Consider the following 22,294-nt stretch of genomic DNA (forward strand, 5'->3'; position numbering starts at 1 on the left):
GATAAAAAAGGAGAAGGAGTAGAACAGAAAATGCAAATGAGAAAAAGAGATGGCGGTGGAAAGAAGGGCTGCAGTAGAAGACAGGAGAGAATAGAGCAAGCAGAGGCAGGAAGCCAAGTACGAAAAGGAGGAGAGGAGTGGGGAGTGTTTAGATCAAGACTCTTCTCTTGGCTGGGCGCAGTGGCTCACACCTGTAATCCCAGCACTTTGGGCGGCCGAGGCGGGCGGATCACCTGAGGTCAGGAGTTCGAGACTAGCCTGGCCAACATGGTGAAACCCCATCTCTACTAAAAATACAAAGATTAGCTGGGCATGGTGGCACACACCTGTAGTGCCAGCTATTTGGGGAGGCTGAGGCAGGAGAATCGCTTGAACCTGGGAGGCGGAGGTTGCGGTGAGCCAAGATCGTGCCACTGCAGTCCAGCGTGGGTAACAGAGGGAGACTCCATCTCAGAAAAAAAAAAAAGCCAGGCAAGGTGGCTTTTGCCTGTAATCCCAGCACTTTGGGAGGCCAAGACAGGTGGATCACGTGAGGTCAGGAGTTCGAGACTAGCCTGGCCAACATGGTGAAACCCCATCTCTACTAAAAACGCAAAGATTAGCTGGGCATGGTGGTGCACACCTGTCGTCCCAGCTACTTGGGGAGGCTGAGGCAGGAGAATTGCTTGAACCTGGGAGGCAGAGGTTGCAGTGAGCCAAGATCGCACCACTGCACTCCAGCCTGGGCAACAGACAGAGACTCCATCTTAGAAAAAAAATAAAAATAAAAAATAAGGCCAGGCAAGGTGGCTTACGCCTGTAATCCCAGCACTTTGGGAGGCCAAGGCATGTGGATCACGAGGTCAGGAGTTCAAGACCAGCCTGGCCAACATGGTGAAACTCCGTCTCTACTAAAAATACAAAAATTAGCCAGGTGTGGTGGCGGATGCTGTTAATCTCAGCTATTCGGGAGGCTGAGACAGGAGAATCGCTTGAACCCAGGAGGCGGAGGTTGCAGTGAGTCGAGATCGCACCATTGCACTCCAGCCTGGGCAACAAGAGTGAAACTCCATCTCAAGACCCTTCTCTTCTCTGGACCTCCATTTCCTCCTCTGGGGCATCCATAGGCAGAGCCAACTACATAATTTGCAGGGCCTGATACAAAATCGAAACGTGGAGCCCTTTGTTCAAAATGTACTCAAAATTTGGAGGCAGCAGCAGCACAGCATTAAACCAACTGTGGGGACCTGTGCAACCATGGAGGTCACATGCCCATGAAGCTGGCTCTAATAAATTAGATCAGGATTTTCAGAAGGTGTTCTGTAAACTCCAGATATTCCAAAAACAAAAGATTCCTTATTCTCATCTCTAGGAAGTGGGGCACATTTCCCCATCCCTTCATTGAAGATTCAAAATGCGCGTGAACTGCTCCAGAAAGCCCTGCTTGAAAGCAAGAAACGTGTGTGCCTTCATTTCAACCAGTTTCTCAAATGTATTTGACCATAGCAACATTTTTTCCCCAATTCTCCATATTAATACCCCATATAACCCATTTTGCAAAATGCTTGAAGTCGATGGTCTTGAGGTCCCTGGAGCTAGAAAAGGCATTAGCAGTCACCCACAGCAGCCCCTCCTGCCCTGAGATTGGATGCTCACAAATCTGCTCTTCTTGGCCTTGATGATGACAGTGGTCTCTTTCTTCCAGATTTGATGAGTGTGGGGCATGGGAGGAGATTACTGGGGTTGCAAAACCTGCAGCAGGTTCTCAAAGATGACATATCAACTCCCCTAAATGCCCCTCCACTCAGGCACCATGAAAGCCTTTGTTTTAATACACTCAAAATGTTGCCTCTTCACGGCCGGGCACAGTGGCTTATGCCTATAATCCCAGCACTTCGGGAGGCTAAGGCGGGTGGATCATGAGGTCAAGAGATCGAGACCATCCTGACCAACATAGTGAAACCCTGTCTCTACTAAAAATACAAAAAAAAAATCAGCTGGGCGTGGTGGTGCATGCCTGTAGTCCCAGCTACTCAGGAGGCTGAGGCAGGAGAATCACTTAAACCCGGGAGGCAGAGGTTGCAGTGAGCCGAGATCACGCCACTGCACTCCAGCCTGGGTTACAGAGTTAGACTCCGTCTCAAAAAAAAAAAAAAAAAAAAAAAGTTACCTCTTCACTAATTTCTAATCTCCCCAGAAAATTTGTAAGGGGGTTTTGATACCATATGTAGGACAGGAATAAATACAATGTTTATAGAACTCTTGCATCTCAGATCATTGTATTCAATTCAAAGTGTGTAATTTTATTTGGGGAGGATTTATGCTGAGAACTATCAGTATCCCAGCGCCTTTGATCAGGAACCCAGGAACTCCTAAAGTGTAGACCATTATCCCCTATAGAGATTAGTTAACTTTCAATCTGGGTAAGAAGAATAAAGTTTTTTTGCAAAAGAAAGCCCAAATGCCATCTTTTTCCTTCTCCATAAACACTAGGATAAGAAGAGACTTATAAGTAGAAGCTTGAGGTTGAATCTCATCTCTATCTTTGTTGCACTGAACTAATCACTACATCCCCTCTCTGCCTTTGTTTTCTCATCTGTAAAGTGGGAATAATAATAGTAGCAAAGATTCTTCTAGCAATAAGATAAATGCATGAGAAAGCTGTCTAAAAATTGAACTGTAGCAAGCATGGCTAAAGCACTTCTTACCTATTACAAATGTCTAGAGCCAAATTTCCACAGTACGGCATGGACAGATGATTTTAAAATCAGAAAGAAAAAAACAGTTATAAAAATACTTAGTGAGATTTGGCCAGGCATGGTGGCTCACACCTGTAATCCCAGCACTCTGGGAGGCCAAGGCGGGCAGATCACGACGTCAGGAGATCCAGACCATCCTGGCCAACATGGTGAAACCCCGTCTCTACTAAAAATGCGAAAATTAGCCAGGTGTGGTGGCAAATGCCTGTAATCCCAGCTACTTGGGAGGCTGAGGCAGGAGAATCGCTTGAACCCAGAGGCGGAGGTTGCAGTGAGCTGAGATCGTGCCACTGCACTCCAGCCTGGGTGACAGAGCGAGACTCCGTCTCAAAAAATAAATAAATAAATAAAAATAAATACTTAGTGAGAGTCTCCCTCACTGGTCACTTTGCTTGGGGGTTCAAATTATAACCCAAAGCTATGGAATATGCTTACTTGGGAGATTCTTACAGCTCCTATACATGAATCTTTTTGAAACATATCAAGGGTCCTTAGAAATCTGATCTGGTGTGACTCTCAGAGCACTCTGATGACACCTGCTGGCTAGGCATGGTGTGACAAGTGTGTTCTAGTCTGGACAGACGGAGATGGTCTGGAACCCCTGAGTGGAGTACCTGGGAAGCTGAGGCTGGAGAGAAATCCTGACCTTCAATCTTGCTGTGCAAAGTGTGGTCCTAGGGCCTGCAGTATCGGGATCACTAGGAGCTTGTAAATGTGGGATCAGACTCTACATTTTTTTTTTTAGAGACCGGGTCTTGCTGTGTTACCCAGGCTGGTCTCAAACTCCTAAGCTCAAGCAATCCTCCTGCCTCAGCCTCCTGAGTTGCTGGGAATACAGGCACTGGCTCAGACTCTACATTTTCATGAGATCCTCCAAGTGATTCGTGTGTGCTTTAGCGTGAAAGAAACATGTTCTAGTGTTCTAGAGGACTTAATCTAGTGACTAAGCGTCTATGTCAAAGAAAAAAATTTTTTCTTTTTTTGAGACAAGAATCTCACTCTGTCACCCAGACGGTAGTGTTATTGTGTCATCCCAGTTCACTACAACCTCCACCTCCCAGGCTCAAGCGATCTGCCCACCTCAGCCTACCAAGTAGCTGGGACCACAGGCACGAGCCACCACGCCTGGCTAATTTTTGTATTTTTTGTAGAGACAAGGTTTCACCATGTTACCCAGACTGGTCTTGAACTCCTGAGCTCAAGCAATCCACCCACATCAGCCTCCTGAAGTGCTGGGATTACAGGCATGAGCCATTGTGCCTGGCTGAAAAAAAAATTTTAGCTCCACATAGGGCTAGCAACTCACAGAAAGCTTGGCACTTCTGCTGTTTCTGGTCCAAGCCTTTCGTTACACCAGTGCATAAACAGGCCCATTGCCCCACAACAGTTTTTCTTATTTTCATTTTTATCCTGTTTTCTACTTATTCTGTTGAAGACATTTTTCCTCCCAGAGGAATATTCCTACAATTCTGTAACAAAATGATAGGAAAACAGGATTCCCATTACAGAAAATTTGCTTTAAGATCGTATTTTTCAAAATACAAAGGTTTCTTAGAAGTGTTTTTGTGCTTTTTTTAAATGTTCTGTGTACTGGTCATACCTACAAATAACAAATAATAATAATAGCACGGCCAGGCGCAGTGGCTCACTCCTGTAATCCTAACACTTTGGGAGGCCGAGGCAGGTGGATCACGAAGTCAGGAGTTTGAGACCAGCCTGGCCAACAGTGAAACCCCATCTCTACTAAAAATACAAAAATTAGTTGGGCATGGTGGCACGCACCTGTAGTCCCAGCTACTCAGGAGGCTGAGGCAAGAGAATCACTTGAACCCGGGAGGCGGAGGTTGCAGTGAGCTGAATTTGCACCACTGTACTCCTGTCTGGGCCACAGAGCGAGAATCCATCTCAATAATAATAATAACAATAACAATAATAATAATAACAGCACAAGGGAAGCAGGACTGGTGCTCTCCCCACAAACACCTGATACATTCATTTCTGTTGCCTTGTTTGTAATAGAAATAGAGTCTAGGTAATATAAGCAAAAAAGAAATAAACAAAGGAAATGTATTAGATGGATATGGTGGTGGCTTATAGAAAAACAGTACAAGCTGAACAACGACATCTCACAAAGGACAGGAAACGGTATTAGGTGTCCAGGAAGCTGGTGTTTCCAGGGCAACACCTTTGGGACAATTGTTTTCAGCCCTGCCTGTGTCACTGATCAGTATACAAATTCTGGGGATAGAGAGTCTGTTAGGCCTCACTTGGTTCATGTCCAGCCTTTGGATAAAGAAGGGCAGGACATTCTGATTTCAGGACTCCCCAAAAGTGTATCTGCGGAGGAAGGCAGGGTTGAGCATCCATTCTGGTTGGTTGAATGTGGTCATGCCCAAGCATTCCAGTTGTTGCAGATTTTGACTATCACCCTGAGAGAGGGGTAAATCCCCAGAGGTGAGGTTTTCAACGGGGTGTGGTAGCTCACGCCTGTAATCCCGGCATTTTGGGAGACTGAGGTGGGCGGATCACCTGAGACCAGCCTGGCCAACATGGTGAAGCACTGTCTCTACTACAAAATACAAAAATTAGCCAGATGCGGTGGTGGGCACCTGTAATCCCAGCTACTTGGGAGGCTGAGGCAGGAGAATCGCTTGAGCCTGGGAGGTGGGGGTTGCAGTGAGCCAAGATCATGCCACTGCACTCCAGCCTGGGCGACAGAGTGAAAATCTATTTAAAAAAAAAAAGAAAGAAAAAGAAAATTGATGTTTTCAAGCTGAAAAGAAGAAAAGGTTAATAGGCAGGTGAAACCATGCCTCTGTATTGTGAGATACATATCCCCCATAGTATTGACTGGTAAGAATATTTATAGCCTATTTACTCTAAAGCCCATGTATTATTATTATTCCAAACCCATTGATTATTATTATTCCAAAACATATCTATTTTTAACTGTTTAAGCACATTATTGGAACATGCACTGAGAGCTTGATGGTCTTTGATTCTTCAAGGCAAATCAACTTTCTACCACGTCATCGGAATAAAACAGAAATTAAACAGTTGAAAGGGCCTCTACTCCCCCAAGACCTCTGGTGTCCACCCCCATCTAATATTCTTATGTATTCATAGGCGATGTTAAATAAATGGCAAGAATCTCCTATTTCTTTTTTACATAAGAAGAAAGACTGCATAGCTATGAAAAATACACTCTGTCACCAGAGCCACGCAAGAGATCTTTAGAGGAATAAATAGCCGCAGTCTCATAGCAACATTCAGATGAACAATGCTGAGAGCTGAAAGATGTTCTTCGGTTAGAAATTCATGCCTACAAAAGAATACCATCCACGAAGTTCCTCACTGTTAATTACAGATAGTAAAGCCAGTCCACAGGCAATGGAAATGAGGGTCCATCATGCAGCCGGCTTCTTGGGAAGGACTGACCAATATCCTCAGAAAGCTAAAATGAATGAATATGCTTTTTTTTTTTTTTTTTTTTTTTTATTGATCATTCTTGGGTGTTTCTCGCAGAGGGGGATTTGGCAGGGTCATAGGACAATAGTGGAGGGAAGGTCAGCAGATAAAACAAGTGAACAAAGGTCTCTGGTTTTCCTAGGCAGAGGACCCTGCGGCGTTCCGCAGTGTTTGTGTCCCTGGGTACTTGAGATTAGGGAGTGGTGATGACTCTTAACGAGCATGCTGCCTTCAAGCATCTGTTTAACAAAGCACATCTTGCACCGCCCTTAATCCATTTAACCCTGAGTGAACACAGCACATGTTTCAGATAGCACAGGGTTGGGGGTAAGGTCACAGATCAACAGGATCGCAAGGCAGAAGAATTTTTCTTAGTACAGAACAAGATGAAAAGTCTCCCATGTCTACTTCCTTCTACACAGACACGGCAACCATCCGATTTCTCAATCTTCTCCCCACCTTTCCCCCCCTTTCCATTCCACAAAACCGCCATTATCATCATGGCCTTTTTTTTTTTTTTTTTTTGAGACAAGGTCTCTCTCTGACCCCCAGGCTGGAGTGCAGTGGCACGATCTCGGCCCACTGCAACCTCCACCTCCTAGGTTTCAGCAATTCTCCTGCCTCAGCCTCCCAAGTAGCTAGGATTACAAGTGCCTGCCACCACGTCTGGCTAATTTTTGTTTTTTTAGTAGAGACGGGTTTCACCATGTTGGCCAGGTTGGTCTCGAACTCCTGACCTCAGGCGATGCGCCCATGTTGGCCTCCCAAAGTGCTGGGATTACAGGCATGAGCCACTGCACCCAGCCAAATCTGCATATTATAGAGAGGTCTCAGTAACCAGACCCGTAACCTCACAGAGGCTTCTTAAGTGTTTTCTTTTATATTCTGTGCCCTGGTCACACCTACAAATAACAAATAATAATGATAACAGCACAAGGGAAACGAGGATGGTTTCCCTCTCCTACTTGCTACAGACCTACCTCCACAAATAGAGCTGATACATTCGTGGAGCCTATTTGAAGGCTTACTTCTCTGCTTAAAAACTCTTCCATAAAGTAAAATATCGACTTTTGTACTCTCTGGGGGATCTGGCATCCATGGCCCAAGTAGTTAGTAAATGCACATTTTTTCTTTTTTTCTTTTTCTTTTCTTTTTTTTGAGACAGAGTTTCGCTCTTGTTGCCCAGGCTGGAGTGCAATGGTGCTGTCTCTGCTCACTGCAACCCTGCCTCCCAGGTTCAAATGAGTCTCCTGCCTCAGCCTCTCAAGTAGCTGGGGATTACAGGTGCCCACCACCATGCCCGACTCATTTTTGTATTTTTAGTAGAGACAGGGTTTCACTTCGTTGGTCAGGCTGTTCTCAAACTCCTGACTTCAGGTGATCCACCCACCTCGGCCTCCCAAAGAGCTGGGATTACAGTGTGAGCCATCAAGTCCGGACTATCCTCATATGTTTTAATAAGAAGCTAATGTTTTCCCCCAGATTCTGGAGACACAGTGACCCTCTAGGAAGCGGTGGCAGGTATACAGCCATGGTTACCTGACTGAGACAGCTCAGGACAGAGCAATGGAACTGGAGTCCCCTCCTGGCTTTGTCATCTTGTTCCAGAGTGGGCTAGCCCAGGAACCTGACTTCACTGCACCTCAGTTTCCCCATTTAGACAATTAAGTGGCAGATTTCTGTTCACTCCTAATGCAGCTCTAAAAGCCTGCCTTTCTAGTTATCTTCTAGGGGTAGAAAAGAGAGTCAGAAGAGGCCGGGCACAGTGACTCATGTCTGTAATCCCAGCACTTTGGGAGGCTGAGGTGGGCTGATCACTTGAGGTCAGGAATTTGAGACCAGCCTGACCAGCATGGTAAAACCCCATCTCTACTAAAAATGCAAAAAAAAAAAAAAAAAAAATTAGCCGGGTGCGTGCCTGTAATCCCAGCTACTTGGGAGGCTGAGGCAGGAGACTCACTTGAACCCAGGAGGCGGAGGTTGCAGTAAGCTGAGATTGCATCACTGCACTCCAGCCTGGGCAACAAAGCAAGTCTCCATCCTAAAAAAAAAAAAAAAAGGAGAGGTGGGGAGGGGGAGTCAATATAAATGAACAGAAAGCCACCTCTCCCACTTTAAATATATCCGGGCCCTCTCAAAAAAAACCTCACATTTGAAACTTTCCTTTAGGTTCCCCATCTCTGGCCCATGGACTTTGGGGGAGCAGGTCCAGGAAATAAGTCCTTTAATTGGAAGCCAGAAGTATAAGAAAAATGGATCCAGGAGTTTATCCTTTAAATACCAAATCCTTGATTGGGCCTCCTTCCACCAACTGTTCTTTCTTTATCTGAACAAAACAGCAGTGGTCGGTACCAAAAGGCACCGTCCACCGTGCTGGTCTATTTCTGTCCTGCATTGTCATTCTAAATGCTGAGACGATGGCTTATCAGGACCTTGGAGAGATCAACGCTATCCTGAGAGATTGAATTAAGGTATTGGTAAATGCCTGCCAAGATTGAATTAAGATTGGTAAATACCTTGGTAGGCTAGAACAATGGATGAAATCTAACAATTGAAATTTAATCGGAAAAAAAAAGAAATTTAATCAGGATAAATGTACATTCTGGTCCACAGAATACCAAGTGCATAAAAATAACTGATACTATGGAAAGAGGTTGTTGGTCTAGAATGTTCAGGTTACTACAATCTCAATCTGTGCCAATAGGATGACTTAGTGCCCCTACTCAACTCAAACGTAGCATAGTGTGGGCTTTGATGAACAAAGCTGATCCAAGCAAGAGAAGAAAAATCCCCCCGTCCTTTGCTCAGGCCACATCTATGTCATTAGCATGACTTGAGTGTCAGGAAGGAAAGCCAGATAGACTCCAGTCAGGTGAGCGGTGGCCCTGCTGGATGGAGAGACCATGAAAAGAATACAAAATTCAGCCAGGGCCTGAAAAGGTGAATGAAGACAGCAGCAACCTTAATGCAGAATCTCAGCCACCAAAATCAGGTGCTAAAATTAAAAGGGGTTGAGAAAGAATCACACAGGAATGTGAAAGAGTTGATGGGATGGAAGTGCCAGATGGCAGGACATTAAGGTATCTTAAAAGAGCTAAAAGAAAGGCAATCAAGGCCGGGCATGGTGGCTCACGCCTGTAATCCCAGCACTTTGGGAGGCCGAGGTGGGTGGATCACCTGAGGTCAGGAGTTCAAGACCAGCCTGGCCAACATGGTGAAACCCCATCTCTACTAAAAATACAAAAATTAGCTGGGGGTGGTGGCAGGCGACTGTCATCCCAGCTACTCAGGAGGCTGAGGCAGGAGAATTGCTTGAACCCAGGAGGCGGAGGTTGCAGTGAGCTGAGATTGCGCCATTGCACTCCAGCATGGGACTCTGTCTCAGAAAAAAAAAAAGAGAGAAATAGACTTTCTGAAGAGAAGAGAGAAATAGACTTTCTGAAGAGTTCATCTGAAGAGCTATCCTGCAGGTGACAATGTGGTGAGGCTGTGATGATAATGTCCCATGAGGACCATGGAAGAAAATGAGCTTGCTGAGCTGGGGAAGAGATGGAGGTGAGATCTTCAAATCTGGGGAAGACATGTTCAAATGTGTGAAGGGCTGTAACATCAGAAGGACTTCCAAATAAACATGGCAGATTGAACACATATATACATATACATATATATCTATACGTAGATAGAGAAATGGAATATGTTGATAAATAATATTGGTCTTTTAAGAGATTTCAGTATTGGAAGTTTGATTTATTAGATTTTGAAGAGTTGTTTAAGCACCTGGGGAGGTTTTGCTTTTTAAGTTGGAAAATCAAGCCTAACAACTCTGTAGTAGACATAAAGTATAATGATCAAAGACCGTGGGAGACAAGGCAACAGCAGACAGGATGTATCAACAAAATGTCTGAAAATGGTAAGTTCTGACTGGGTGCAGTGGTGCACGCTTATAATCCCAGCACTTTGGGAGGCCAAGGTGGGAGGATCACTTGAGCTCAAGAGTTCAAGACCAGCCTGGGCAGTATGGCAAAACCCCATCTCTCAAAAAAAAAAAAAAAAAAAAAAAAAAAAGCCAGATATGGTGGTGCATGCCTGTGGTCCCAGCTACTTGGGAGGCTGAAGTGGGAGCATTGCGTCACCCTGGGAGGTCTCAGTGAGCCAAGATCACACCACTGCACTCCAGTATGGGCAACAGAGGAAGACCCTGTCAAAAAAAAAAAAAAAAGTAAAGTAAAGAAAAGAAAAGCAACAAGGAAGGGGAAGCGAAGGGGAGGGGAAGGGGAGGGGAAGAGGAGGGAAGGGGAGGGAAGGGAAGGTTAGGTTCTGATGGTGAAGGGAAGGTTCTGATGGTTACTTCACCAAGCAAGAGAAGCTCTGGTTGCTGAAGAAGTTCCTACAGAGGGGGATCCTGCTATGGTCTGAATGTTTGTTTCCCTCCCAAATTCATATGTTGAAATCCTAACCCCATGGTGATGGCATTATTTAATAGAAGGTGGGGGCCAGGCGTGGTGACTCACGCCTGCAATCCCAGCACTTTGGGAGGTCTAGGAGGGCGGATCACAAGGTCAGGAGATCAAGACCATCCTGGCTAACATGGTGAAACCCCGTCTCTACTAAAAATACAAAAAATTAGCCGGGCATGGTGGTGGGTGCCTGTAGTCCCAACTACTTGGGAGGCTGAGGCAGGAGAATGGTGGGAACCTGGGAAGCGGAGCTTGCAGTGAGCCAAGATGGGGCCACAGCACTCCAGCCTGGGCGACAGAGCGAGACTCCGTCTCAAAAAATAAATAAATAAAATAAAAGAGAAAAAATAGAAGGTGGGGCCTTTTGGGAGAAGTAGTCAGAATCAAAATGGACTCACTAATGTTAAAAAAAAAACTAAACAAACAAACCAACAAACAAAACCCCTGGCACATAGAGCCGGGGAAGACCATGAAGAGAGGATTCTCTTGCTTATACGCCTAGTAACAAAACTATCACAAAGACTGCAAAACTCACAACCTAGCACAATGGCCATGATAACCTCACACAAAAGAATACTTTTGTGACTGGGCACGGTGGCTCACCTGTAATCTCAGCATTTTGGGAGGCCAAGGCAGGAAGGATTGCTTGAGCCCAGGAGTTTGAGACCAGCCTGGGCAACATAGGGTGACTCCGTCTCTACAAAAAACACAAAAACAAAAAACTTTTGCAAGGACATCTACTCAGCAACTACGTCCAACCTTGTACTGGCATCACCTTTGTTACTGATCTTTGCAGCCAAGAATAATTATTTCAAAACAATTATGTAATCTTCTTCACTTTTTCCTTTAAAAACCTTTGTTTTCTTTTACCTCCCTGAATACGTACCTAGTTTACTATGGCATGCATATGCCCATTGTAATGCTCTTTTCCCAAGTAAACATCATTTTCTTTTGGAGAGCCTCTGTTTATTTAGGTTGACAGTCATAAGAGTGGGGCCCTTATGAATGGGACTAGTGCCCTATAAAACTGATTTATGGGCCAGGCATGGTGGCTCACGCCTGTAATCTCAGCACTTTGGGAGGCCGAGGCGGGTGGATTACCTGAGGTCAGGAGTTCAACATAGTGAAACCCCCAACATAGTGAAACCCCCATCTCTACTAAAAATACAAAAATTAGCCGGGCGTGGTGGCATACCCTTGTAATCCCAGCTACTCGGGAGGCTGAGGCAGGAGAATTGCTTGAGCCCACGAGGCAGAGGTTGCAGTGAGCCGAGATCGTGACACTGCACTCCAGCCTGGCCGACAGAGCGAGACTCAGTCTCAAAAAAAAAAAACCAAAAACTGATTTATGGTAACAGAAATATGAATGGGCTGGGCATGGTGGCTCATGACTGTAATGCCAACATTTTAGGAGTCCAAAGTGGGAGCATCACTAGTGCCCAGGAGTCTGAGATCAGCGTGGGCGACATCCCTATAAAAATAAAAATAAAACATCTCTACAACATCTCTACAAAAATAAAAATAAAAAATTGGCCAGGGGTGGTGGTGCATGCCTGTAATCCCAGCTAGTTGAGAGGCAGAGGTGGGAAGATTGCACCAGGAGGTTGAGGCCACAGTGAGTCTTGATCACACCACTGCATTCCAGCTTGGGCAGCAGAACGAGAGCGTGACACACACACATACACACACACACACACACACAGAAGTCAGAATGATGGTTGGCCTTGGGGATGGAGGTGATTGCTGGATGAAAAGGCACAGCATGCAGTGGGGGAGCTTCTAGGATGATGGCAATGTCCTAAAATTTGATTTGGTCAGCAGTTACACAAGTGTGGACATATGTAAACGTAGCAAACTAGACATTTAATATTAGCGCACTCTATGTAAGTTACAGCGCAACAAAAAAGCAATTAAAACTCTTGCGTGTGGGGAAAGATGACCCAGGATACAGAAAACCTAGGCTGCAACTCAAGAAGTCCTGGGGGGTAGTTATTGTGCAGACAGCCTGAGGAGCAACCATTCTGCCCCCCCTCCCCCCACAGCAGGAGGATGGGGCGAGAAAAACTAGGTACCAATAATAAAGCAGGTGTAGTTGGCCATATGGAAAATAGTGTTCAGATGAGTTTTGTAATTCAGTTGGAGAATTTGGCAAGAATTAGTAATGGCAGCTTAACCCACATCCAAACTAGTATCCTCAATTTTCTATATCTTCTCTGCCACATTTGGCAGAAGAAAAAGAGAGATACTTAGAAAAGATATAGAAAACTGAGGGTACTAGTTTGGATACAGGTTAAACTGCTATTAAAAAACAGACTGGGGCCAGGCACGGTGGCTCATGCCTGTAATCCCAGCACTTTGGGAGGCCGAGGCAGACAGATCACTTGAGGTCAGAAGTTTGAGACCAGCCTGACCAACATGGTGACACCTTGTCTCTACTAAAAATGCAAAAATTCCTGTAATCCCAGCACTTTGGGAGGCCAAGGGGTGGGGGGCGGGGGGGAGGGGGGGGGTGGATCACGAGGTCAAGAGTTCGAGACCATCCTGGCCAACATGGTAAAACTCCGTCTCTACTAGAAATACAAAAAATTAGCTGGGCATGATGGTGCATGCCTGTAGTCCTAGCTACTCCGGAGGCTGAAGCAGGAGATCGCTGGAACCCAAGAGGCTAAGGTTGCAGTGAGTAGAGATAGTGCCATTGCACTCCAGCCGGGAGAGAGAGCAAGACTCCATCTCAAAAAAAAAAAAGCAAAAATTAACCAGGCGCAGTGGTATGCACCTGTAGTCCCAGCTACTCAGGAAGCTGAGGAAGGAGAATCACTTGAACCCGGGAGGCAGAGGTTGCAGTGAGCTGAGATCCTGCCACTGCACTCCAGCCTGGGCAACAGAGTGAGACTCCATCTCAAAAACAAAACAAACAAACAAAAACCCCAAAACAGGCTGGGCACAGTGGCTCACACCTGTAATCCCAGCACTTTGGGAGGCTGAGGAGAGCAGATCACTTGAGGTCAGGGGTTGGAGACCATCCTGGCCAACATGGTGAAACCCCATCTCTACCAAAAATACAAAAATTAGCCTGGTGTGGTGGTGCACACCTGTAGTCCCAGCTACTCGGGAAGCTGAGACAGGAGAATTGCTTGAACCCAGGGGGTGGAGGTTGCAGTGAGCCAAGATCATGCCCCTGCACTCCAGACTGGGCAACAGAGGGAGACTCTGTCTCAAAAAAAAAAAAAAAAGGAGTAGCTATATTTCAAGCATTTTAGGTGAAATAATATGATGTCTTAGATGTCTTGGATCCAGTGGTAAGAGAAAAGGATGGGGTTATGTGTGTAGTTATATCTGCCTGATTTAGCCAGAATAAGTCAGAGAGGCCTCCCTGGAGGAGGCAGCATCAGAGTTGGGACTGTAGAGGGTTTGCCACATGAAGAGGGGAGAGGGCTTTCCACAAAGAGGAAACAGCTGGAAGAAAGACATATAAGCCATAGAGTGGGTGGTATTGAGATCTTGAGAAGATGTTATAATTATAGCAAAGAGTAAGGGGACAGAGAAGGGGACATGTTTAGAGATGGGAAAGGGTCTGAGAGGACCTTCTAAGGGTGTTGAGTCTATTCCTATAGGAACTGAGTCTGGTGTGTGTACGTGAAGATGATGCTATCTACTAAGCTATACTCTTTTCAGACATTTTCTTGAGGGTGGTCATTTGCTCTCAAAAAGGTACATAGATTGAGGTCAGGAGTTCAAGACCAGCATGGGCAACATAGCAAAAGCACATCTCTAAAAAAAATTTTTAAATTAGCCAGGCATGGTGGCACATGCCTGTATTCCCAGCTACTCAGGAGGCTAAGGCAAGAGGATGGCTTGAGCCCAGGAGTTTGAGGCTGCAGTGAGCTATGATCATGCCACTATGGTTCAGCATGGGGGACAGAGCAAGACCCTGTCTCTTAAAAAAAAAAAAGTACATAGAGAATTGAGTGCTCTAGAACCTGAAGAATCCCAGCAATCCAAATGATCTGATCTGATCCACTCTTTATGATGAGGTAAGGGCCTCAGAGAGGTCCCCCAACTAGATATCAGTGGAGCTGGGATTAGAACTGGGTCTCCTGACTTCCAAATTACCTCATTAAACAGGGATGCCAGGTTACAACTGGGACTGGGGGCACCTTTCTCATTGTATACATAAAACCATGAAAAATGTAAAACACAAGAATACATCAGCACACATTCATTGGCTGTCAGAACAAAAACATCATCACGTTGGACAACCTCTGGAAAACTCCACTACACACTCATGAGTGAATGAGAGTGAAAAAAGCAAACACTGTCTTAGTATTGTTACCAAACAGTATTTGACCTATTTGGAGCATGAAGGTACATAGTCCAGGGGCACCCATCTCTATGGAATAAAATGCAAGCGGCACCTCCTAGAGTTGTGCAGTGGCCCTGTGCCCAAACCTGGCATTCAAGCCATCCCCCAGGAGTAATCCTAAAAGCACATTCTTGAGGCTGACCTGGGTGGGTAATGGAGGCGGTGACTGAGAAAACATTGTTTCTCTATATGCAGCCAAGTCGCCCCTATAGAACTCAACCCCCAGATCCTGGCTCAATCAACTCTGCTCTAAGGATCTCATTCTGCTAACAAAGGTCCAGAGAAGGAAGGAGTCACATGTTTCTCAGAGGATACGTGGATAACAAAAACAACGCCATCCAGTTTGCCAAAACAAAGTCTCCCTGTGGCCCTGCTGTCACTTTCCAAGCTACAGACAAGTGCCTTTTTCCCCCTAACTCTCAACTCAGCATTGTGGGAACTAAACATCACAATCAGCTTCAGGAGCCTCACTGTTGCCATGGGTTACATGAATTCAAATCTAAGGATGGAACCAAAACAGGCCCTTAAATATCAGCCCTCGAGTGGGAGGTGAAATGAAGTGCTCTAACACCTTAAAGGAAAACAGGAGACGCGTGGCAAGGGGTGGGTCCCGCTACAGCAGGATGGGTGGTTGCTGCCTGGAGCCTCGATTTGTTAACAGCTGCTAAAAATATTCTCTGTGTATAGGGCTTGCAAGTCTTGGCGGATACCCAGAGAAATAAGAACGAATGTCTGAAACTAGACCTGCGCCGTCCAATGATAGCCACTGGCCACAGGCGGCCATTAAGCACTTGAAACATGGCTAGTCTGATTTAAGATGTGCTATAAGCGTAAAACCCACACCAGATGGCAAAGACTCAGGATGAAAAAGGAATGTAAAAGTCACTTTAATAATTTTAGGTTATTTTGTACAGTAGTCACTGTATTGGGTTATCTTAAATATACCATATAGTGAGTTATCATACAGAACTAAATAAATCGGGTTAAATAAAATATATTACTAGAATTAATTTCACCTGTCTCTTTTTACTTTTTAAATGTGGGTACTGGAAAATTTTAAATTACATATATGGCTTACATTTGTGGCTTTCATTTGTGAATTACATTCTGTTTCTGCTGGGCTGCAAACTGTGGGTACCTTTTTCCAAACTCATCCCAACTCCCATTCAAATCCTTCCCTTTCTTTTTCCTTTTCCACATTTCTCTCTCTCTCCTTTTTTTTTTTTTTTCTTTTTTTTTTGAGATGGAGTCTGGCTTTGTCACCCAGGCTGGAGTGCAATGGCACAATCTCGGCTCACTGCAACCTCTTCCTCCCGGATTCGAGCAACTCTCCCGCCTCAGCCTCCTGAGTAGCTGGGATTATAGGCACCACCATCATGCCCGGCTAACTTTTGTATTTTTGTAGAGACGGGGGTTTCTCCATGTTTGCCAGGCTGGTCTTGCACTCCTGACCTCAGGTGATCCACCTGCCTCTGCCTCACAAAGTGCTGGGATTACAGGTGTGAGCCACCGCGCCCAGCTCACATTTCTCTTTTAGTATCACATTTTCTATTTTTTTTGACAGGAAAAATGGCTCACTTGTATCATTAAATAGGAAGACTAATAAATAGTTAACATTATTTAAAAGACTAAATGCTAATGCTTTACCTGATTTATGGCATATAATCTCCCCCAACTATCTTATAAGGTAGGTATTGTTATTAGCACAGAGAGGTTGAGCTATATGCCCAAAGTCACACAGCTAGTAAATAGAAAAACTAGGATTCAAACCCCAGGAAGTCTGTCTCCCAAGCCCTCGCTACTCCACCTACCATAAAAGAAATGGGAAATTCTAATAGACATCTCTTGTGAACAGTTGATTGTTTTTTCCGCATTTGCAGTGCCCTGGAGCCCTAGGTAAGATGGCAGTGAAGCTTAAAAGCTAGTGGTGGGCTCCTAAAATGTGTCCACCGGTGCTCTGAACTGAATTGTGCCCCCTCCCCATCTTTACCCACAATATGATGGTATTTGGAGATGGAGCCTTTGGGAGGTGATGAGGTTCAGTTGAGGTCATGAGGGTGGGCCTCTCTTGATGGGATTAGCGTCCTTATAAGAAGAAACCCCAGGAGCTTGCATGCACTCTCTCTCCTGCTCCAACACACACTGAGGAAAGGCCACATCAGCACACGGCAAGCCAGGAGGAGTGCCCCCACCAGAACCTGACCATGCTGGCACCCTGATCGCAGACTTCCAGCCTCCAGAACTGTGACAAATACATTCCTGTTGTTGAAGCCACCCAGCCTGTTGTTTTGTTATGGTAGCCCAAGCAGATGAAAACATCAGACCCCCGAGTTTGGTCACTGCGGCTGAAACAGCCGATCTCTGAGAACTTGTTATGCATTAAGAGCCTATTGAGGGGGCTCTTAGCCTTGGAGGATGCGAACAGGCAGGAAAGACTCAATGAAAGCGCTTATAGAGACTTCAAGTGGCAGAGGACAAAGGAATGACATAGCCGGGAGGGGACAGGGATGCTGGGCTGAAGATGAGGGAATAGAAGGAGGTTAGGGGCACACTGTATACCATAAAAGATCCAGAGTTTTTAATGAGGAAAGGCTGTAAGATGTGTGCACAACAGAAGAACCAATATATACCATAAAAGATCCACAGTTTTTAATGAGGAAAAGCTGTAAGATGTGTGCACAACAGAAGAACCAATATCCCAATAAGTGGGATTTAGAGAAAGAGAATTTACCTATTGACCTAGTGAGGCTACCATATCCGATTATCTTTTTTTTTCTTTTCTTTTTTTTTTTGAGACAGAGTCTTACTCTGTCACCCAGGCTGGAGTGCAGAGTGCAATGGCTGGGATTACAGGCACATGTCACCAAGCCTGGGATTACAGGCACATGTCACCAAGCCTGGCTAATTTTTGTATTTTTAGTGAAGATGGGGTTTCACCATGTTGGCTAGGTTGGTCTCAAACTCCTGACCTTAGGTGATCCACCCACCTTGAACTCCCAAAGTGCTGGGATTATAGGTGTGAGCCACCACCCCCAGCCCATATCTGGTTATCTTAAGCTCTGGGCTCAAACCATGGTGCTTCCACCAGTTACAAAGTTGGCTGCTTATAATTATTAGAAAAAGTATTTAAGCAGTCAATGTGGTAAGGATTTGCTTCCTGTATATTTAATGTGGATTGCAGTCTTATCCCAAGAAAAGTTCCCTCTCCCTGCTTGTGTTCCTGAGGGCTTTGGGGATGGAAGAGAAAAGGGTAGGATTGATGTCAGCCCCATGGCACATCCCGGGAGCCCCCTCATCAGAGCATGTGATCTGGGATCCCAGAGGGAGCATGCTGCATATGGAGTCACAACTGTGCTTTGTTTATTGGCAGAAATGAAGTTTGAAAACAAATGGTTTATAGCAGGTGTCCCCATCCCCTGGGCAGCAGCAGCGCCTGCCAGGTACCGTTCTGTGGCCTGTTAGGAACCAGGCCGCATGGCAGGAGGTAAGTCGTGGGACAGTGAGTGAAGCTTTATCTGTATTTACAGCCGCTCCTCATCGTTCGTATTACCATGTGAGCTCTGCCTCCTGTCAGATGAGCGGCAGCATTAGATTCCCATAGGAGCATGAACCCTACTGTCAACTGCAAATGCAAGGCATAGATCTAGGTTGCACACTCCTTATGAGAACCTAATGCCTGATGATCTGTCACTGTCTCCCATGACCCCCAGATGGGACCACCTAGTTTCAGGAAGACAAGCTCAGGGATCCCACTGATTCTACATTACGGTGGGTTGTATAATTATTTCATTATATATTACAGTGGAATCACAATATAAATAAGGTGTACAATAAATGGAATGTGCTCAAATCATCCCAAAACCATCCCTCCCACCCCCATGTATGGAAAAATTGTCTCCCATGAAACTGGTCCCTGGTGCCTAAAAGGTTGGGGACCATTAGTTTAAACATGATCAAAGAGAATCAAAGCACATCAGAGTGATCAAGAGGAAGTGAAATGATGGTTAGAGGGCAATTACAAGGGAGAAAGTGACATGCAAAGGAAACCCAAAGGCACCAGGGGCTTCAGTGTCAGGGTGCAGTCATGTGGATAGGAAAGTGCCTTGAACCCAAGTGGCTCCAGTGCAGATCCCAGAGCTGGCACTTAAAAGCTGTGGAACTGTGGCCGGGTGCGGTGGCTCACACCTGTAATCCCAGCACTTTGGGAGGCCGAGGCGGGTGGATGATTTGAGGTCAGGAGTTCAAAACCAGCCTGGCTAACATGATGAAACCCTCTGTCTACTAAAAATACAAAAAAATTAGCTGTGCGTGGTGGCAGGCGCCTGTAATCCCAGCTACTCAGGAGGCTGAGGCAGGAGAATTGCTTGAACTCGGGAGGCAGAGGTTGCAGTGAGCCGAGATTGCACCACTGCACTCCAGCCTGGGCGACAGAGCGAGACTCTGTCTCAAAAAACAAAACAAAACAAAACAAAAACAGCTGTGGAACTGCTGAACCTTCTCCCTTCCCCTTCCCCTCCCTCCCTCCTTCCCTCCCTCCCTCCTTGCCTCCCTCCCTTCTTCCTTCCTTCCTTCCTTCCTTCCTTCCTTCCTTCCTCCCTCCCTCCCTCCCTTTCTCCCTTCCTTCCTTTCCTTCTTTCTTTCTTTTGAGACAGGATCTTGCTCTGTTGCCCAGATTGGAGTGCATGATCATAGCTCACTGCTTGAACTCCTGGGCTGAAGCAATCCTCCAACCTCAGTGTCCAAAGTAGCTGGGACTACAGGCGCGTGCCACCACACCCAGCTAGTTTTTAAATGGTTTATAGAGACAGGGTCTTGCTATGTTACCCAGGCTAATCTCACACACCTGGCCTCAAGTGGTCCATGGAACCCTTCCAGTCTGCATTACCTTCCATTCGAACAAGAATCGTGGCAGAAAAAACGTCCAACGGTGACCGCGACAACATCTCCCATCCACGGGCTCTTCTTACAAGGACACTTTAACTCTCCTCCTGCGGAGAGGTGAACTTGAATCTCAGGAAGAGTAGAAGTGATGCTGTGTGACTTCCACGTCTATAGAAGGCGGTACAGCTTGCATCCGGCTCCCTTGCCCGGGACATTCGTTCTTGGAACTTGCAATGCTGTGAGGAAGCTCAGTCCCGTGGAGGGGCCTCACGCAGGCGCACTGCAGACATCCCCGGCAGAGGGTGCAGCCGGCGGCAGCAGCAGCTGCAAGGCATGGAGGTGATGAACCTCGGGATGGATCTGGCCCCAGCCACTGGGCCTCTCCTGTGCTCTAAGTCTTCCCAGCTCAGACATCATGGAGCAGAGACAAGCCCCTTCCAAACCCTGACCCAGAGAAGCCGTGAGCATCATAAAGCAGTTATGGCTTCCCACCACTGTGGTTTGAGTCATTTGTTATGCAGTCATAGATAAATGGAACGAGTGTAATAAAAACTACCTTGGAGGCTGGGCGAGGTGGCTCATGCCTGTAGTTCCAGCACTTTAGGAGGCTGAGGTGGGAGGATTGCTTGAGACCAGTGGGAGACCAGCCTGTGGGCAACATCGCAAGACCTTGTTTCTACAGAAAATAATAATAAATAAATAAAATAAAAGCCACCTTGAGAGTTGTGAGAACCAGAGATAACATGACAAACACCTAATTCGCTGCCTGTCTTACAGCCAAAGCTCAGAAATGCTAACTATTATCACCATTATTGAGAGGTGAGAGGATCCGGATCAGCTAGCTCTATTTATCTTGTCCTGTCAATCACCTTTTCCCCACTCCCCACTGTCCCCTACACTTCCAAGAAACCTGAGAGTCAACCCAGTGTAGCAAACCCTCCTCCTCTATAAGCTCAAGCCACTTTCTTCTACCTGGAAGCAATGAAGGTGTTTTTAGGGGTCAGGAGAGGTGGGGGCGGCACGCGCCTGAAGCCAGCTGTGTGTTATGCCAAGCCCTTCGGTCCAACTGGCCAAATCTCCTTAGCCCATTGCATCATGTAGATCACATGTCTTTATTCTTTTGCCTTTTGAATACCACGATTCATTTGGATCTGGGGCTGACCCTAAATTATTATTATTATTATTTTTGACGCAGAGTGTCATTCTGTCACCCAGGCTGGAGTACAGTGGTACAATCTCAGCTCACAGCAACCTCTGCCTCCCGGGTTCAAGCGATTCTCCTGCCTCAGCCTCCTGAGTAGCTGGGATTACACGCACGTGCCACCATGCCCAGCTAATTTTTGTATTTTTAGTAGAGACAAGGTTTCACCATGTTGGCCAGGCTGGTCTCAAACTCCTGACCTTGTGATCCACCCGCCTCGGCCTCCCAAAGTGCTGGGATCACAGATGTGAGGCTGACACTAAAATTATTGCAGGGTCTCTGTTGACCCAGGTGCATCAGAATCGGCCCAGGGATGCCAGGGGAGGAGCCAGCACAGCCTTGGTTGAGAATGTAAATAGCTACAGTGTCAACTCACTCTCCCCTCAGTTGGCCGCAACCAGTGGAATCCTGCTGCAAATCACTTCACTGTGTGTTGTGACATGATGCAGGTTTAGGGAACAAAGGTTCTCCACCCTCTCTTGGAGCTGTTAGGCAGACCCACCCACCCACTCTACCATGTGTCTTGAACAAGGTGTGTCTCTTGCAAAGTAGCTCTCCCTCCCTCTGTTTTTTTTTTTTTTTTTTTTTTTCCTCTCCAAATTGAGTTGTGAAACAAATGCAGAAACAAAGACCCAACATCCAAGGTCAAACAATTCAAGGCAAAGTTTACAACCATGGAAATGAACTCTTGCATTTAGATGATCACTGAATTCAGGTTAATAAAGCCCCAGAGGCAGCCTTCCTTCGATGTTCACATTCACGGCCATCGTGAGAAACTTGTCAAATGAGTGTTATGGCTGGGCAAGTGTGTGTGGGAAATCCAGGCACCCCACTATGTTCCACGATCCAAACCGAAATGCTGGAAGGTAAATATATTTCCAGAGTGGGGACATTGTGTTGCTGTGCGGTTCAAGTCAACACACATTCCCTGAGTGCCCAACTGCAGTGTTCATGAGGCACCTGTCATGAGCCAGGCCCTCTGCTGAGCACCATATGTGCATTACATCATTTTGTCCTTATAGCAACCACAAAGGGTAGATACTCTGAGAGTTTCCATTTTACAGATGAGCAAATAGAGGCTTGGAGGGTTAATTCAGGGCCACCAGAGTTATCACAAAACAAATTTAGGATTTGAACCTGGTCTGTGTAATATGGACGTCAACCTCTGTTTCACTAGCCTCGACCA

At 46.1% G+C, this 22,294-nt stretch overlaps 1 long non-coding RNA gene across 1 annotated transcript, besides 3 other annotated features; it reads right to left on the reverse strand.

Moving 5' to 3' along the window:
• Nucleotides 5,714–6,498: an enhancer, noted in NCBI's record as "NANOG-H3K27ac hESC enhancer chr21:32955714-32956498 (GRCh37/hg19 assembly coordinates)". NCBI's record gives its function as "activates a minimal SCP1, AML or CMV promoter by ChIP-STARR-seq in naive H9 embryonic stem cells {active_cell/tissue: H9 hESC(naive)}" and the evidence as "EXISTENCE:reporter gene assay evidence [ECO:0000049][PMID:30033119]".
• Nucleotides 6,499–7,283: an enhancer, noted in NCBI's record as "NANOG-H3K27ac hESC enhancer chr21:32956499-32957283 (GRCh37/hg19 assembly coordinates)". NCBI's record gives its function as "activates a minimal SCP1, AML or CMV promoter by ChIP-STARR-seq in naive H9 embryonic stem cells {active_cell/tissue: H9 hESC(naive)}" and the evidence as "EXISTENCE:reporter gene assay evidence [ECO:0000049][PMID:30033119]".
• Nucleotides 8,516–8,716: a silencer, noted in NCBI's record as "peak4405 fragment used in MPRA reporter construct". NCBI's record gives its function as "represses an SCP1 promoter by STARR-seq MPRAs in K562 erythroleukemia cells {active_cell/tissue: K562}" and the evidence as "EXISTENCE:reporter gene assay evidence [ECO:0000049][PMID:32103011]".
• LOC107985488 (uncharacterized) lies at nt 11,322–21,072 on the reverse strand. The gene is made up of 3 exons (XR_001755005.1): nt 20,464–21,072; nt 19,912–20,231; nt 11,322–11,360 (listed from the first exon to the last, which is right to left on the reverse strand). It is a non-coding gene; the product is annotated as an uncharacterized LOC107985488 (long non-coding RNA).
• Between the last annotated feature and the right edge of the window lie 1,222 nt (nt 21,073–22,294).

This window comes from Homo sapiens, chromosome 21, assembly GCF_000001405.40.
Source record: "Homo sapiens chromosome 21, GRCh38.p14 Primary Assembly".
NCBI lineage: Eukaryota > Metazoa > Chordata > Mammalia > Primates > Hominidae > Homo > Homo sapiens.